The sequence below is a fragment of the Homo sapiens genome, chromosome 15 (assembly GCF_000001405.40).
Source record: "Homo sapiens chromosome 15, GRCh38.p14 Primary Assembly".
Lineage (NCBI taxonomy): Eukaryota > Metazoa > Chordata > Mammalia > Primates > Hominidae > Homo > Homo sapiens.
In genome coordinates, this window is record NC_000015.10 from 100,995,392 (window position 1) to 101,013,913 (window position 18,522).

General features: G+C 47.4%; 1 protein-coding gene across 1 annotated transcript in view, besides 3 other annotated features; it reads left to right on the forward strand.

The window, feature by feature from the left end:
• LRRK1 (leucine rich repeat kinase 1) overlaps positions 1-18,522 on the forward strand; it is a 158,901-nt gene that overhangs the window by 76,035 nt on the left and 64,344 nt on the right. The window contains exons 7-10 of the mRNA NM_024652.6: positions 13,446-13,672; positions 15,059-15,186; positions 15,283-15,446; positions 16,617-16,754. Of these exons, the coding sequence (NP_078928.3) occupies positions 13,446-13,672; positions 15,059-15,186; positions 15,283-15,446; positions 16,617-16,754 (657 nt within the window). The remainder of the gene's footprint in view (positions 1-13,445; positions 13,673-15,058; positions 15,187-15,282; positions 15,447-16,616; positions 16,755-18,522) is intronic.
• Positions 261-1,248: an enhancer, noted in NCBI's record as "H3K4me1 hESC enhancer chr15:101535857-101536844 (GRCh37/hg19 assembly coordinates)". NCBI's record gives its function as "activates a minimal SCP1, AML or CMV promoter by ChIP-STARR-seq in primed H9 embryonic stem cells {active_cell/tissue: H9 hESC(primed)}" and the evidence as "EXISTENCE:reporter gene assay evidence [ECO:0000049][PMID:30033119]".
• Positions 11,593-11,887: an enhancer, noted in NCBI's record as "tiled region #1628; K562 Activating DNase unmatched - State 12:CtcfO". NCBI's record gives its function as "activates a minimal TATA promoter and a strong SV40 promoter by Sharpr-MPRA in K562 cells {active_cell/tissue: K562}" and the evidence as "EXISTENCE:reporter gene assay evidence [ECO:0000049][PMID:27701403]".
• Positions 12,866-13,195: an enhancer, noted in NCBI's record as "active region_10182". NCBI's record gives its function as "activates an Ori minimal core promoter by ATAC-STARR-seq in GM12878 lymphoblastoid cells {active_cell/tissue: GM12878}" and the evidence as "EXISTENCE:reporter gene assay evidence [ECO:0000049][PMID:35858748]".

The following is an 18,522-nucleotide window of genomic DNA, read 5'->3' on the forward strand; positions in this document are numbered from 1 at the left end:
GGGTTTTGCTGGTGTTTGGATGAAGAAGGTTCCAGAGGCCACACTGTATGGTCTGGACTGCTGGGACACACTCTCTAAGAAACAAAAGTGAAGTAAAGTCAGACCTGGCCATGCTGTTTGCCTGGCTGGGCAGTGCTCCTCTTAAAGCTGCTAAAGTTTTGCCTGAACATCTAATGAGACGGCCCGCGTTCGTGGTGAACATCGGGTCAATGTTTAGCTGCGTTGCCATGAGAAATAGCTTAATGCTTTGATGTTGTCACACCCAGAAAGGAACAAGAAAACTCAGAAATGCCAGGAAAAGCCTAATCAGATCCCAGAATAACCACGATGTTCGCTCCTGTTCAGCAGTTAGAGGGCCAGGCTGAGGGCTCACTGGGGCTGTTTTAAGTGTGGAAGTAGAGCAGACCTGAAATTAACTTTCAAACAACCCAATGGGGAAATTATTAATTTCCTTTTAAAAGTCTCTAATGATTTCAAATCTGGCAGCTAACCTAAAGAGAGAGGGACATCTATTATTACTGTTTGGATCAGTTCCGGCATATGTAGCTTTCAAGTTCCTGGTGCCCCACCCTTCATGTCTGTGTGTCAGTGCCCTGAGCGCAAGCAGCCCAGCTGCACATCCTCAGGGTTAAGGCAGGCGTTTTACTGGGGCCATGCAAGCTGCTGCTGGAGGCAGCTGAGCCAGGGCTGCGTGCTCATGAGAGTGCCTGATGGCTGGGGGCTGGTGGCCTTTCCTGAGGGACACCTGAGGCCTCTGGGGAACAACCCTGTCTTAGATAGGACCTCACATTTGGTGCAGAGGGTGTCACTCCAGAGTTTCGTGCATTGCAGAGCACTTCCGCACACATCACCACCGCCCTGGCGCCACATACCCTCTTCTCAGCAGGCGGTGCTGCTGTAGGAGCCAACGTGGGCACTGGCATTCCCAGAATTCAGCCTGGCCCAGCAAGGCCCCCATGGTGACAGCCAGGGCTGGGGCATGGACCCTGACTCCTCTTGGCCTGGCCTGTTCCACAGTCGCTCGTGTGAACAGAAGAGGAGGCCCTTTTCCTACCCTCTGAGGGTCATGAAGTAAACCCTGGACTGTTCCCAGCATCCTTCCACCAGTTCCACTATTCTTGTGTCCTGGTGAGCAGTTCAGTCCATTGTCCCACACATGCCCATTTTCTCCAGGTTCCAAATACTGAAGCTTTCCCTGTCCTCTTCCTCTGCCCATATGTTTTCCCTGTGGAATAGGAGACAAATGTGATGCTATCCATGTGCATGTTAGTGCTTCATAGAACTCGAAAATGGGTAGCCAGGGTCACGTGGCAGAATAAGTGAAGGGGAACAGCGCGTGGCTTCTCAGTCCTGTGTTCATGTCGTCCTGCTGGATTTTAAGACATCCGACAAAGCAGTGAGCATGTCAGTCACTTGTATTTAGTTAACGACAGAGAAAAATGATTAAGCTAGACAGGCAGAAACAGAAAAACTATTATTTGAACTTCAGTGACAAACTAGAAGACGTAATGAGAAAAGAATAAGAAAGAGAATAAGAGTAAGAAACATTAGCCAAGGCTGTGAGAACTGTTGGAGTTCAGCACAGAGATTTAGATTCATTATGATACAAATGGATTCTAGACAAGTTAGCGTTAAGCTTTGAAAACTCATCAGAATATGCATATCTATAGATATGATTATTAATATAATCATATCTATAGATCTTATATCTATAGAGACATATATATATTTAAAAGCATGTTTATCCCAGTTATAAGAGGGAGATGACTGCCTTTCAATTTCTAAACATATATGAAGATATATGATCAGAAATAACATGAACATTAAAGCAAAATTATTTATACTAAAACATAATTTTAAAAAGAAAAGACATGGAAAATATTTCGGAAAAAATAACTGACAAACACTTAAATCCAAGGTAGATCATTGGTGCAACTCCATGTCAGCTGATGATCGAATTTAATTTAGCCAAAGTTTATCGATCTCCTGCCAGATGCTTGGGACCCAGCAGTGATGGCCAGACCTTTGCCCTGGCTGTCACAGTGCTCACAGATTCCAGCAAGTAAAAATTTGAGAGAATGAACAGTTAATTTACATATAAGAAAACACTGGCAGTAAATCATGGCATGGAAACATACACAACATCACTGGCAATTACAGAAATTCAAATTCAAACAGCTTGCAAGTACTGTCACACACCTATTAAACTAGCAAAAATAAATATACACAATGAGTAAGACATTTGGCAGAGCACAGAGCAACGGACACACCAGGGTCTTGCTGCTGGCACTGTGAATTGGTTCCATATGTGTGGAAAGTAATTGGCATCATGTGGCAAAAGCTATAAACCTCTTTTCTCCCAGTGAACTGTTCTGAATTCAATATTTCCTTTCTGAAGAATACCTCTAGGACAGAATTCAAATGAAATCAATAGTGATGGCCACAAACATGGCCACAGCACTGCTGTTTATGATAAGAAGACATGGGGGAAAGAAACCAACATGTCTGCTGGGTGCGGTGGCTCACGCCTATAATCCCAGCACATTGGGAGGCCAAGGTGGTGGATCATCTGAGGTTAGGAGTTCGAGACCAGCCTGGCCAACATGGTGAAACCCCCCCGTCTCTACTAAAAATACAAACATGAGTTGGGTGTGGTGGTGCATGCCTATAATCCCAGCTACTGTGGGGCTGAGACAGGAGAATCGCTTGAAACTGGGAGGCAAGGTTGCAGTGAGCCGAGATAGTGCCATTGCACTTCAGCCTGGACGACAGAACAAGACTCTGTCTCAAAAAAAAAAAAAAAAAGAAAGGAAGCCAAAATATCTGGTGGCAGGGAAAGACTATACCATCCATGCTGTACCAGCAAGCAGACCACGCCTAGCCAGGAAAAAGCGAGCCTGCCTCCTCAGCACTCAGCACTCAGCACACTGCTCCTCCTCGACCCAGGACACCCTGCAGATCCCCACACAATATCCTCAGGAAAGCCTTCCTTAACCCTCAGGCCTGGTCACTTGCCCCCACCCCAACCTTCTATGTCTCAGAGCTCCCTGTCAGTTTTATTCAAAGCACTAAACAAAGTTTGGGTTATTTGTTTGGGTGACATTCTTCTTTAATCAATTTCTCCACATGACTAGAAGCTTCCTCAAAGCAGAAACCTTGGCCAATTTTGCTCACCCTGTGTTTGCCCCTCCGTATAGGACTTGGAACACGATAGATAGGTGGGTAGGTAGAAAATGGATGGGTGGGTGGGTGGGTGTGTGGATGGATGGATAGATGGATAGTTGCTTGGATAGATAGATGGGTCAGTGGATGGTTGCATGGATGGATAGGAGGATGATAGATGGATGAATGGATAGAAGGATGGATAGATAGATGGGTGGGTAGACAGGTGGGTTGATGGTTACATGGTTGCATGGATGGATGGATGAATGGATGGATAGATAGATGGGTGGGTAGATGGGTGGGTGGATGATTGCATGGTTGCATGGATGAACAGGTGGGTGGGTGGATAGATGGATGGATGAATGAATGGGTGGATGGTTGAAATTTTTGTATGCAGTAACCTCCTTTCTGTTTACGTAGGGCCTCATAGCTTTAAAAAAGTACTTTGCCAAACATTGTATTTTAATCTCTTATACAGCCTGTGAGGTGGAAGTTTTGTCTTTATTTACAAGTTGAGAAAACTGAGGGTTCTCTCGAAAGCAAGTTAAGTAGCTTAGTTAACTGCAGACACCATATTTTTATTTCTTGCATTTTTTTCCCTCTTTCAAATAGCTATTGGCAAAATTCCTAAGCTGGAACTAGTGACAGGAGATTTCTTGTAAGTTTCCTATTTTTAAAAGAAATGACTGAAATATTACAGAAAAAAGTACAATGTTGCTTTTTGTTTTAAAAACCTCTCTACCTGTTTTTTAAGAATTTTAGCAAAGAAAAAGTGATGAATTTTACTAAACACATCTTTTGGCATTCACTTGCTTAAAAGAGAAGCTCAGTTTCCCTTTCTCTGATAGGGTGTGCTGTGCTCCTCCCTAAATTACTGTCACGCCCTTGTCTTTGTTCAGACCCTACCTGGCCAGAGAACTTAACTCTCTGAGTTTAGTTGTAGCTGATTAAATATTTTGTTGCAGTTTTGTATCCATGTGCGTACATGTAATTGGGCTGGAATTTTAATGGCCCTTGCAAAGTAACTGGTTTTGACTCATAAAATGAAATGAGTCCTGTATTAAGGAACCACTTACATAACATAGGAACTATTTGTTATTTGAAATATTTGACTGGGAAAAAATTATATTGAATTAGGAGACTTGGGGAGCTGATTCTCTATTTTCCTTGTTTGTTTCATACAATGTTTGTTTTTTCTCTGATCGTGTCACTGATGATTTTTATTTTGGTAAGTAAATCTGACATTTCTACTTCCAGATTGTTTGCCTAGAGTCTGGACTTGTAGCCACAGATTGTTACAACGACTGTTTAGTACAGATTGTTACATGTTGACTGTTTAATATATGATCAGAAGTGTATCTTGTAAGTTATTTTTGTACTTAGGTTTCTCATTTATCTGGTTTCAACGGTAATATTTCCTTTCTTTGTTTAAACATATTGGCAGCCAACCACTAATTCTGATATTTACAATATTTTTTAACAGACATGCTATTGTCAAAACTGACTTCATTGTTTTATCTCATTCAGTCTTTTATTTAAGTGGGTAAACCCCTCTAAGATTAGAAGGAAACTGTCCCCCATTTTCTTGTCTCTCCTTTCCCTACTCCCTGTGGTGGTTATTCTCAAGTCCTTTCTGAAATTCTCCATTTACATCATAGAGTCCTCACAGGCTTTCCCCAAATTTAATAGCTGATTTTTCTGTCATTGTCATTACCTTTTAAAATTACATTTCTAATCTACTTAGCAGGAATGCTTTTGGCTTTCTAAGAGTCTGTTCCTTGCCTTTCCTTTTGTTATCTGTGTGATCATGACCATAATCTGTGTCAATGGAATGTTCCCAGCTCTCTGGTCCCAACCTCCCCTCTCTTCCCTTGACTCATTACCATCTGAATTCTTAGAACTGCTGTAACAAAGCACCCAAAACTGGGTGGCTTAACACAACAGAAATGTATTCTCTCACGGTCCTGGAGGTCAGCAGTCCACGGTCAAGGTGTTGGAAGGGTCGGCTTCTCCTGGAAGCCCTGAGGGAGGGTCTTTCCCTGCCCCTTCCAGCTGCTGGGGACTGCTGGTGGTCCCCAACACTTCTCGGCTTGTGGCCACATCTCCCCCGTCATCTGCTGTCTTCTCCCTGTGTCTTCACATCGTCTTCCCGTTGTCTGCCTCTGTTCACGTTTCTCCTTTTTCATAAGAACACCAGTCATGTTGGATGATGGCCCCCACAATAACCTCATTTTGGCTAGATGACCTCTGTTTTTAATTAAAGTCACATTCCGCAGTACGGGGCGTTAGGACTTCAGCATATCTTTTTGGAGGGACACACTGCAACCCGTCACACCATCCTTGCTGCCTTCACTTCATTGCCCTTGGCCTGGATCCACCTGCCATGGGCCACCTTAGATGCCAGGTAGACGGCCAGTCAAGGTACAGTGTCCTCATCCTCCCGTTTTCAATGCCTCCTTTCTCCTTAAGAGCTTGTCTCTACCAGAGTGCAGGAACTTGAGAAGTAGGTGTTTAGAAAACCCACAATGAATATTCCTCCTGGGAGCAGAGATGAGGCACAGTTTGTTTGGTTCTGTTGTGGCCTTTACATGCACAAGGATGCTGGGACAGAGCTGCTGTCTGTGGTGTTTCCAGTTCTCTGTCACTGAATCCCTGTCACTCAGGGCCCCGTCTGATGGTCTGAGTTCCCAGAGTTCTCTGGGAACCTGTAGCCTTGAAATTTACCTTCAGCTTGTGGGCGTCGGTGCACAGACGCTCTCTGCAGCCATCGTCTCATCTCTACTATAATCACTGGCGTCATGCAGATAACCTGGGATGAGCCTTCAGATGCCATTTCTGGGCCTGCTGCTCTGAGCATCTTTGTTTTCAGGGCTTCTTTTGGCATTTTCTCCAGGCCTTTGAGTGAGTCTCCCCATTTTAGATTAGGTTCATTGATTTTGCAGCTTCTTTGGCTGTTCAGTTGTTCTTATTGTTACTTCTGCGTATCAGAATGTGGCTCTTGTCTTACTGGCTGGTTCAACAAGGAGGAGGCACCGTCCCAGGAATCTTTGCTTAACTGCAGAAAGAAAGACTTGGGGTTTGTATGGGCCAAGAATTGACAAGTTCAAGAACTTTCTGTGTATTTCCCCCCATTGTAACGTGTGTCTTCATTGAATAGATACCTATTAACTGCTTTTACTGTGGTGTGCCCTTTTGTCACTGAGCTATAGTCTGTGCTCTGAAGGGATCTACGGTTTCTAGGGGGGAAGATTCTTACTCATGAGCCATAAGCAAAATACTGACCAACTGACAGGAACAAGGAGCTGCAGACACAGGAAGAGCTATGAATTCTGCTGTGGGGTCAGTGAGACCTAGCAAGGAGCTAACATTACAACGTCACTCCGGCAAGGCTGCTCTTGACCCCACAGAATCGTACAGAGGAACACCTGTGTGCATATGTCACAGGGGCCAGGAATCGTTTTCGGAGTCTGCCCTGGGCTGGGGTGCCAGCCACATCTGCTGAGGTTCAAACCAGGCTAAAAGCTTTGTAGATGCCAGCTCTTCATTGAACAATTTTTTTCTTCAACTAATAGGTTTGCACTGATATAAAAACATAAGAGATGTCATTGTGGGGCAATGCCTCATTCACTGTGACAATTTTATGGCTAACATCTCCAAGAAGCATCATGTGAAGGTGTCTAGCACCCTCCTGAACAGCAGCCTCCATCACCAGATGAGGAGATCTTTCTTATACATCAGTCTCTAATGAAGCAGTTGCCCTTAAATACACCTAATCCTTCTTGAAAGCAATCCAAGTCACCACCACTGCCGTGGAAAACAAGTTTCTGAAATCATTGCACTGAGCCTTCTCGAGAAAGTGGTACTTCCTTTTACTTGGACTGAAATTTAAAGGGCTCATGCTTGAAAAACCAACATGAACACATTCTCCACCTGTTTGTGATAGGGTGGGTGGAGCTTAACCACTCCTGTGTTGAATTGATGGCTTCTCCTTAACCAGCTGTCTTTGATTTTGTAGTTTAGCCTTCATGGATAGGATTATATAATTGCTGGCTTTGCTCTCTCGGAATCTTGTTTATTGTGATTCTGCCTGGACTAGACACAAATAAATAATGAGGGCTAATGAGGGCTTCAGGGCTGGAAGAGTTAGGTTTTAATGTCAAGTGCATGAACATCTTTTTATTTATTTATTTTTTATTTTGAGATGGAATCTGGCTCTGTCACCCAGGTTGGAGTGCAGGGGTGCAATCTCAGCTCACTGCAACTTCCATCTCCCGGGTTCAAGTGATTCGGCCTCAGCCTCCCAAGTAGCTGGGACTACAGGTGTGCACCACCACACCTGGTTATTTTTTCATATTTTTAGTAGAGACAGGGTTTCACCATGTTGTCCAGGCTGATCGTGAGCTCCTGGCTTCAAGTGATCCACCTGCCTTGGCCTCCCAAAGTTCTGGGATTACAGGCATGAGCCACTGCGCCCAGCCCTGGACAACTTTTTTAACTGTGCATTTTTTCTAGTTTCTCTCTGCCACTTTGTGGACACCTGGGCACCCTGTAATGTCTGTGCTTGAACAAGAAAATAACTTTTGTAAATCAGTTTTCAGACTAGCCCCAGACCAGGTAGAAATTGCACAGGTTTTTCAACCTCCATCCAGCCCAGAAACCATTTCCAAGCATGTCTATTTTCCGAGTGTCAACATTTTTGCAGACTTCTGCTTTTTACCACTTCCCTCCCAGCTTGAGTTTATCAGATGTCAGTCCTGCAGAAGCACAGTGGGTATGTGCCTACAGAGAGCTCTGGGAACAGGCAACATCTGCTTTCTCCAAGAGGAGAAAGGAGGTCCACTCTAAGGGTGTATGCAAAGACCCTCTGTATTATTCTCTTTTTACACTGCTGATAAAAACATACTTGAGACTGGGTAATTTATAAAGAAAAAGAGGTTTAATGGACTCACAGTTCCACATGGCTGGGGAGGCCTCACAATCATGGCAGAAGGTGAAAGACACGTCTTACATGGCAGCAGGCAAGAGAGAGAATGAGAGACAAGTGAAAGGGGCTTCCCCTTATAAAACCATCAGATCTCATGAGACTTGTTCACTATCATGAGAACAGTATGGGGGAAACCGCCCCATGATTTAATTATCTTCCACCAGGTGCCTCCCACAACACATAGGAATTATGGGAGCTACCCGTAATTCTCTATCTCCTTCAGGATGAGATTTGGGTGGGGACACAGCCAAACCATATCACCCTCTTAGCTCCAGGCCCAGCCCACCTTGTACTTCCCATGTTGTCCTCCCATCTTGGCCCCTTTGGTCACCATGGTAACCCACATTCCAGTAGGGAGGCGGGGGAGGTCTGCAGCCCCAGAGCACCCCAGCAGCCCTTTGAGCACATGGGCCAGTCAGTTACCAACAGCACGGCTACACCCTTGTGGTCCCCAAAACCCTTCCTACAAATGTCAATGTTGGGCCTACTTGTGAGCCCTGCAGTTGATTTATGAACAAGCAGTTTCTGCACTTTGATTGGCAGCTTTTCCTTGGCCTCGAATTCCCCTGCCCTGGGAGTGTGCCCCTTCCCCTAATTTCTTTTACCCAGAATAAATTAACCCCACAAATCACTGCCAGTAGGAAGGCAAAGGGCATCGCTATAGATCAGAGGCTGCTCTGGGTGGGCAGGGAGAAGCTATGAAAGAGGCAGGAAGACATAAAGTTGGAAAAGTGGGTTGGAGCCAACTGGGGGGCTGTCAGGCTGCAAAGGAGGGACTTTGGATGTTCTGCTAAAGGCGGAGTGGGCTAGGGAGAGCTGAAAGGTCTTGCGCAGACTTTGATATTTCAGGATGATTGATCTGGTAAGAAGTGCACAGAGTGGATAGCTTGCAGGTCTTGGTGGCTTGAATCTCTTCAGCTCACAAACACTGATTTAGTGTCTGCTGCATAGTGGGTATGAGGTTGAGCTGCAGAGGCAGCCAGGCAGGGCTCTGCACTGTGGGGTGTGCAGTCCGGGTTCCGGTTGGCCATGCTGTCTGCCACAGCAAAAGAAATGTGGGCTGAGTCAGTGCCACACAGATCAGTGGAGAGGTTAATACAAAGTGTCTCAAGCTGAACAGAGCCCAAAAAAGTGCTCACCTCCACTGCGGCTTGCCCAGAGTCCACGTGGAGTTAGTTAAGCAGCCTGAGGCTGAGCCCCTGCTCCTTCTGCAGTTCAGGGCTCCAGCCCCAGCTCAGGGGATGTGGAGGAGGTGCTGAGAGGGAGGCTGCCATTGTAAGGACAGCCACACCTAAGCCCTTCCCCAAGGTATTTGTACCATAATTGGGTCATGTTACAGTAATAATTTGATTACTTGCTGTTGTTTTGTTTATTTTATGATGGTCCCCAGAGTTTTATTTAAAGATTTTCAATAGAGACTTAAGATTTGTTGTCAAAGCCAAAACCATAACCAGCCTCCCCTGCATCTTGCATTTGGCTGCCATTTCAGTTTGGGTACCAACCATTCCATACGGAAAGACCATAATGGCCACGCAGAGTGAGTGGAGAGGGTTGGATTGCAATCTGGACACCTTGATTCCATGTTCAGCTGTCTGGCCCTTGCCCCTGAGACCTGGGTGTGTCTCTGTGAATCCAGGAAGGAGAGGCAGACAGGCCCTGTGGAGCCTTTTTTGACTTGGCATTGCAAAGTCCACATGGTGACCTTCCTGTCAGCCTGTTGCTGGGCTGACTGTCATGCTTATCCAAAGACTCCTACCCAAAGGCCACTGTACTTTGCAAGACGACCACCGGAAACAATATTGGGACGAGAACTGACCTAGGCATCATCTGATCCAAGCCACTTATTTAACAGATTAAAAACAATGATAATGGAATGAAGAGTGATACAGTCGTGAATTGTGGATTATGGAAAGATGAGGGAAAAAAACCCCTTTGCTGCATTGAATTGGAGGCATCAGAACACACTCATGTTAAATACAGAGCTGTGTCCCATCAATGGGCTGAAAAGCAGTGACACCCCAGCGGTGATGAGCACACCTCACACCCAGATCTTGGTTTCTAAATACCAATTTTTGCTCAAGGGAATCAAGGCCTGGGCTTAGAAAGTACAAGAGGAGACTGGAAGATCTTGTTTTGCCGGGAAGTAAGGAGGCGTCCCAAAATTGACAGCGATATGTCACAGGAACACAGGGGGCTCTCTCCCACCCCAGTGGGGCTCCCCCTGGACAAATTGGGGATGACTTGGGTGTCAAAAAAATAATGATACTTGGGAAAAAAAAGAATCCATGAGTCCATAGTGATACTTAAACAGGTGAGGAGGCAATGCTTTTCTATACAGAAGAATGCCAGGTAATACATGTAGAAAGAAAGGTAGCTTTAGCAAAACTTTCTCATTGCAACCACCGTTGTACTAATTGATTCAGGCCAGGATCAGCAACGGAGGCTAAACCCATGGGGCAAAAGGATGCAGAAACACAGAATTGTCACATAGTCTCAGAATATCACCCCATAGATTGTGTACTAATCGCAAAGGGTATAATGTTAACCTTTACAAAGGAGGGACTGATAGACACCACCTTAACCATGAGACCAAACAGGGCACCACCTGTAGCAGGAACACCTAATATCAGGTGCCCCGGGTGGGGTTTAGTGGGAACCACTCAACTAGACTCTAAGGTTGTTGCCCAAAATAGCTAACTTTAATCTAAACTTTAGGAAAAACTTGAGTAAATTCAGATTATGGGATATTCTATAAGACAAGCAGTGAAACACACCAGCATCTGCCCCCGATGAAGAGGCTAAAAGTTGCAGGACTTAATGCAACGACAATGTGATAAAAAAAAAAAAAAAAAAAAGAAAAGGCATTAAAAGGTGTGAAGACTCTTCCAGATGAAAGAAAAGTAAAGAAACATACAGTGTAATGCAGTGTGTGATTGCAATGTCATGCAATTGTCAAGGGATCCCAGATCAGGACACAAAATAGTTATAAACCACATTTCTGGGATAATTGAGAATATTCTAACATGGGCTGTGAACTTAATAATATCGTATTGATGTTACACTTACTGAAAATGATAATTATACGGCTGTTGTGTAGAAAAATATTATTCTTCAGGGATACATGCTGAAGTATTTACGGGTGAAGCATCACGATGTATAATTTACTGGCAAATGATTCATCAAAACATAAAAAGCGTGTGTATTTGTGTGGAGAAAGAGGGGCAAAAGCCTATGTGACAGCGTTTTAACAATCAGTGAGTCGAGGTGGAGAGTGCACAGGTATTCACTGTGTCCTAGTGCAACTTTTCTGAAATTTAAAAAATTTTTCAAAATTAAAATGTGGGGAGTAAAATAGTAACAATCAAACAGGCCCAGGGCAATTGAGTGACTTGTCTTAAAAAATCAGCTCAGAATCTACCCTCCTGGCCTAAGATCCAGTGCCGCCCTTCCCTTTTCATCCATGTGAACAGAGAGACAGACAGACAGAGCGACAGAGTCCCTCATTCCTCTGGTTCAAAGACCGGACGGAGTGTTGAGGGGCGTAGGCCCAGTCTTTCCAAACTCCTGGAGTGGGCGGAGGAGGAGCTAAAGACAGGCGCTCATCGCCATCTGGTGGCCAAATAGGGATGCCCGTCACCTGCCGCCAATTTTTGAGGAATTCATCCCACGTTATTGGGACCTTTCTCGTAGCCTCTGCTTGTTACATTTTCCCATTTGCGAAGCACTAATTTTTGTTCATATTTCTGCTCCTCTAATTTTCCAATACGGATTTCCAGTTGCTTCGAAGAAACAGACCCAAAAGCAGATTTCTTCTCCCCAGAAACCTGATTGAGCCCAATATTCTTCGGTAATCAGGAAGAAAGAGCAAAGTCCTGCTCCCATATATTTCGCCAGGTCCCTTTGACCACCCCATGCCGGAAAACCGCTGGCCCTTCTGACTCCCTCTGGTGGAAATAAAGGAAGACCAGTGAGAAATGAGTGGAGCAAAGACATTTTGTTTAGCAGGACTTCAACGGCAAGAGCGCCAGCCACCAGGACTTGCGTGTGGCAGAGACCCACAGGCTGGCAGAGGAGCGGGAGCTTTCTAGTGGGACAAAGGGAAGGCCTCCGGGGCCTCCTGCCGGGAGGCCGTTGTCGTGGGGAAGCTGGGGGGCCTCGCTGCAGGCTGGGCATCCTATGGGATTGGTAGGGGTGCAAAGTTGGCTCTCTCGGGTTGGTCCTAAATGGAAAGTGAGGACAAAAATTAGAGAATCGGTCAGTTATTAACCAAGTCCTGGCCATTTTAGACTGACTTTTACGGAAATGATGGCTTAGCTTCCTGGGTTGTTACTAGAGATAAGAAGTGGCTCATGCCTGTAATTGCAGCACTTTGGGAGGCCAAGGTGGGTGGATTGCCCGAGGTCAGGAGTTTGAGACCAGCCTGAGCTCGACGAACATGGTGAAACACCGTCTCTAATAAAAACACAAAAATTAGCCGTGAGTGGTGGTGCAGCTACTGAGGAGGCTGAGGCAGGAGAATCGCTTGAACCCGGGAAGCGGCGGTTGCAGTGAGCCGAGATCGCACCACTGCACTCCAGCCTGGGCGACAGAGCGAGACTCCATCTCAAAAAAAAAAAAAAAAAAAAAAAAAAAAAAAAAAGAGGCTGGCCTCCTGCAAGAGACTGGCTTCCCGGGCTGTTTGCTATAGATAAAGAGGTTGGTTTCCTAGGCAGGTCACTGTGGGTCGTGGGCCAGAGTTCTGTTTTTTATATATTGTGTGGCCATCGTCTGTCTGTATCTCAGGCTCGCTCTGAAAGCAGCCTGTCCACCAAGCACCCTGGCGCGGTGCGGGCAGCTGCAGGCGGCAGCTCCTCTGATCACAGGAAAGGCCGCCTTGAAGGGAGGTCAGAGACTTGGGTTTGGGAGTCAGCTTTCTTCTCCAGTCTGGGGGAGGCGCCTGGACGCTTCAGCGGTCTCCTCTGTACGTGGACAATCCCGCCGCGCTCTTCCCTGTGAGCCGCCTCTTGAGGGGCGGCACTGAGCCCGCGCCCACCGGCGCCCTCTGGAGGTTGGAGGGTGACTTGCAGGCGCTGTGCACAGATTGCCTGTGAGACGCAGGTGCCGATGGGAACAGGTAGCTCTTCTGCACCCACCACCGTGGCAGGTGCCGGCGGCCGAGAAGGACATGTGCAGGCCTCTTGGGACCCGGGCTGGAGCAGGCACACAGACGCGCATTTGCATTAACCCTTGCTTTATTCCAAGCCCATGTGGGCCCTGAACTCACCCTCCACATGTGCTTTTCCTTTCTTTCCACCACCAGGCTCTCCGTGTGAAATGGTCCCATCTCAGACTGCCCTGGGTAGACCTAGACTGGCTCATAGACATCTCCTGCCAGATCACGGAGCTCGACCTTTCTGCCAACTGCCTGGCGACCCTCCCCTCGGTTATCCCCTGGGGCCTCATCAATCTCCGGAAGCTGAACCTCTCCGACAACCACCTGGGGGAGCTGCCTGGCGTGCAGTCATCGGACGAAATCATCTGTTCCAGGTGGCTCCCCGGGGTGTGACCGGAGCCGTGTGTGACCCCGCTGTCACCGTTGTGCTCCTGCACATGCTCCCGGGTTGTATTTTGTGGTTTTGGGGGAAAAATGTTCTGGCTAAAATAGGAGAAGGAGTTTTGCCTACCCTGAGGCAAGCCTCCCTTTCAGGTTAAAACAGAGAGGTTTAGAGAGATCATTTGTCTGGCCCAAGTTTACACAGCTCACCCGGGGACATGCGAATGCTTGCCTGAGATGCTTGTCTTGGTCCTGCCCAGGAATCAGATGAGGGCAGCCAAACCTTCCCACACTGGTGGATGCAATGGGGCTCTGAGGCACCAGCTTTTACTCTGCCTTCCAGGGAAAGTGGGAAGGGCCTCAGAGAAAGGGTTAACTCTGCAGGACTCTGGCAGCAGGTGGACAGTGTGGGCAGTCCAGGCTTGCTTCTTCTGGAGGCCTTGGAGGGAGACCTGAGCCTTACCCCTGAGCTTGCATGGAAGGAGGAATGACCTTAGTTGATTTCTTTATTTTTTATTTTTATTTTTATTTTTTTTGAGACGGAGTCTCACTCTGCTGCCCAACTGGAGTGCAGTGGCATAATCTCGGCTCATGGCAACCTGCAACTCCCTGGTTCAAGCAATTCTCCTGTCTCAGCCTCCCGAGTAACTGGGATTACAGGCACATGCCACCACACCCAGCTAATTTTTGTATTTTTAGTAGAGACGGGGTTTCACCGTGTTGGCCAGGATGGTCTTGACCTCCTGACCTCATGATCCGCCTGCCTCGGCCTCCCAAAGTGCTGAGATTACAGGCATGAGCCACCGCACCTGGCCTGATTTCTTTTGGACACATAACTGCAAGTCCTCATTCCATAAAGGGTTGAATCGATTTTTAAAATGAAAAACCAAGGCTCTAAGTGAAGCAAGAGTCAAGAATGTTGGAAAGAGCTTGGGGTAGGCATTAATCCATGGGACTCCCAAGTGAGAACGGGAAAGAAGCCTGCACACCAGAACTTAAAAAGCAAGTGCCGTCCAAGTGAGGCCCTTCACCTGGGCCAGATGGACAGGTCCAGAAGGTTCAAAGCCCTGCTCTGTGGTCTCAGCAGCTTTCAGGGAACCTACTCATTTTGCTATTACATGCCTGCGAAGGATTCGAATCCCTGTTGGTCAGTGGAGCCAGGGCCCACCGATGAGAGGTTTGTCTTTATCTACACAGGACACAGTAAGAGTTCTTCAAAAGAATTAAAAATCATATGCACTACATTTTCAATGCACACTCTTTAACCTTGCATGGGGAGAAAAAGAAAAAAAATACACCTCTTGGTTTATAGAAAAATATGTAAATTTGGTGTTTTCCCTCTTTATTCTGATGCCTGCCTTCCTTCTTCTCCATCGCAGGCTACTTGAAATTGACATTTCCAGCAACAAGTTGTCCCACCTCCCTCCTGGATTCTTGCACCTCTCAAAACTTCAAAAACTGACAGCTTCAAAAAATTGTTTAGAAAAATTGTTCGAAGAAGAAAATGGTATGTTTTCTCATCAACTTGAGTGAATTAGTCATTTTCTTCTTGGTAGGGATATTTTTACCAATTCATACTTTGGGTCTTTTTTTTTTTTTTTAGCCACTAACTGGATAGGTTTACGGAAGCTACAGGAACTTGATATATCTGACAATAAATTGACAGAACTCCCTGCCCTGTTCCTTCACTCTTTCAAGTCCCTCAATTCTCTGAATGTCTCCAGAAACAACCTGAAGGTGTTTCCAGATCCCTGGGCCTGCCCTTTGGTGAGTATCACACCAAAAGTCATGAAAGCCACAGTCAACTCTGCCTCTCAGCTGGCCTCAGAGAGCCCTCAGGTGCATTATGTCAGTTCATCCCCTCAGCAGCGAAGCCGGGTAGAAGGGCCCGGTTCCCACATTGTAAGCATCGTCACTCAGCATACAGCGAGGCTGTGTCCCAGGCAGATGACTCACCTGAAAGCCAGCCTGCCTGGCTCTGGGTTCAAGAGCCACCCAGCAACACCCACAGAACTTTACCCAGGGACAGCTTTCACCCTGGCACAGGACGACTCATGCCTGAAAAAAGGAGGGTTCAGTTCTTTTAGGACAACTATCACATAAGAGTAAGAAATCAGGCCGGGCGCTATGGCTCATGCCTGTAATCCCAGCACTTTGGGAGGCCAAGGTAGGTGGATCACAAGGTCAGGAGATTGAGACCATCCTGGCCAACATGGTGAAACCCCGTCTCTACTAAAATTAAAAAAAAAAAAAAAATAAGCTGGGCGTGGTGGCACGTGGCTGTAGTCCCAGCTACGCAGGAGGCTGAGGCCAGGGAATTGCTTTTACCGGGGAGGCAGAGGTTGCAGTGAGCCGAGATTGCACCATTGCACTCCAGTCTGGTGACAGAGCAAGACTCTGTCTCAAAAAAAAAAAAAAAAAAGCATCAATCTGCACTCGTAGCACTGCTGATTAAATGCTGTTTTTGCATCTGGGGAATTTTGCTTGTTAAAACAGATGGAATAGCATGAAGAATGTGTGTGTGTGTGTGTGCATGTGTGTGTGTGTTATGGCTGTTGGTTTTAAACCAGGAAACTCTTCATCACTGGCATTATCATTCCTAGTTTGGCCATTCGTGTAGGGGAAACCAGCTTCTCTCTCCAGTGTGGTCCTGAATTGTTCCATTATTTCCAAGGACAATGGGCCGGATGTTCTGGAATGAAGGAAAAAGACCATGAGCTCCCCCAGGAAACCCCATTCCTGTCCCTTCCTTGGAGTAGGGGCGGGAGGACAAGGACAGTGAGGGTGTGCAGCCTTCCAGCAACACTCAGTCATCTTCATTACAGGACATTATTGTAATGGTCCATTTTTAACATCAAATTTGGAAACAGTCTCAAAGGCACCACTGCATTTAAAGAGCTAACTAATATACATTTTTTTTTCTCGTCAATCTCTTAGAAATGTTGTAAAGCTTCCAGAAATGCCCTGGAATGTCTGCCAGACAAAATGGCTGTCTTTTGGAAAAATCACCTGAAGGATGTGGATTTCTCAGAAAACGCACTCAAAGAAGTTCCCCTGGGACTTTTCCAGCTTGATGTAAGCCTAATAGCCCTTTCTTTCTCATTTTCGGCTTTTGAGAGAAAATTGCTCCGTGTTGCAGTGAAATGTATGTGCTTTTCCTGAGCTTCTGAGATAAATATAAGGGGAAAAGATGAAGAAAAAGTTCAGCTATCAAAAATATGCATGGCCACGAACAGCGATGAGGGTGGCACGTGGACAGCAGAAGCAGCTGTGTCAGGTGGTGGTGGGGTTATGGTTCGTATCCCTCGGGACTTTCTTTAAGTCCACGGCCTGCCCATATATGAGGCTGAGTGGACACTGAGAGCTCCAGGAAGGGCCTTTCCACGGAACCCTGTGTGCCTACCCCAGAATACGGGTACCTTCTCGCTTTAGGTTGTTTTAGGTGGTTGGCGGGTCCTTAGGCAGACAGGCCGTGGATCACACTCATTGCTTGGAGCTCAGGGCCAACCCCAGAAGGGGCCCCATCAGGGCAGCCTCACCAGGGGCCCTGTAGTGGACCCCCAGGCAGAGTGCCCAGGCCACCCTGCACAGGCTTCAGCCCCCGGTCCTGCCAGGCCACTGCCAGGACCCCCACGGGCACTCCTCCAAGGCCTGGTGCAGCCTCTTGTGTGCGGCGACCCCCACAAGGCAGCGAAGGCCCCTTCAGCATGTGTATCCTCAGAGAGGATGGGCTATCATGTCCTAGGCTCCTGACAAGCACAGGGCAAAGCCAGGGACCCAGGGACAGGACTCACGCTTCTCAGAAGAAAGGAGCCACGCGGGGTGCCCCCGGGGGGGGGTGGTCCCACATCATACTCCTCGCAGGGTACTCCTGGCCTTCAGGCCTTGTCCACAGCCCCTGGGCCCCTGTTCTGAGTCTGTCTTCTCGTATTTCACACCAACAACTAGCAGGCTTGGATTTTTGGCTTCCCCCAAAGCCCAGAAGCAGCAAATCAGGAGAGGCAGAGCCTTGTCCAGAGCTTCACTGTGGGCCTGCAGGGAATGTGTCTGCTCGAGGTCTCCTTCTCCACACTGGGAAGGGGTGGGTGGGTATGTGGGGGCTTGGGGGACCCTGAGGTCTGGCACATGGCAGGGTCTCCATAGAATTTCAGCAGGAGGGGGCTGGCTGCAGCGGTTCTGATGGTGGGCGGTGGCGTGAGCCCCTTCAACAAGGAAGGAGACAAAAGCACCAGGAGGAGAGAATTTAATGTGGGGCAGCAAACAGCCTGTGGCCCTCCTGAGGCCGCCCTGGTTGTGGGCGGGATAGTTGGTGGCTGTGGTGATGTCCTCAAGCAGGGAGATAGCATGTCTAAGGTACTCCTGCAAAGTAAAACGTGGGCCAGGCATGATGGCTCAGACCTGGGCACGGCGACTCAGAACCGTACTCCCAGCACTTTGCGAGGCCAAAATGGGGGGACTGCTTGAGGCCAGGAGTTTGAGGCTGTAGCAAGCTATGATCACACCGCTGCACTCCAGCCTAAGAAACAGAGCGAGACCCTATCTCTAAAAAAGTAAATAAATAAAAAGAATAACAAAAAAAGAATAAAACGTGTTACAGGTGCAAGGTAGCCCCTCATCCCCCTTGGTGACTGGGTTCCCTGCAGGGTCTGTTTGCAGTAGGGCTGAGGGAGGGCTACCCACGAGGGGCACCCCAGACATGCTGATAATCCTGAGGGGCCCAGCTTGGGACTGTGTCGGCTAGCAGAGGGCATGCGGCTAGGACAGTTACCCTTGGTGGCACTGCCACCCCGTCCCCAGACCTGGGCTGGCCCAGGAGGCCACCCACCAGGAGGTGGCAGACACC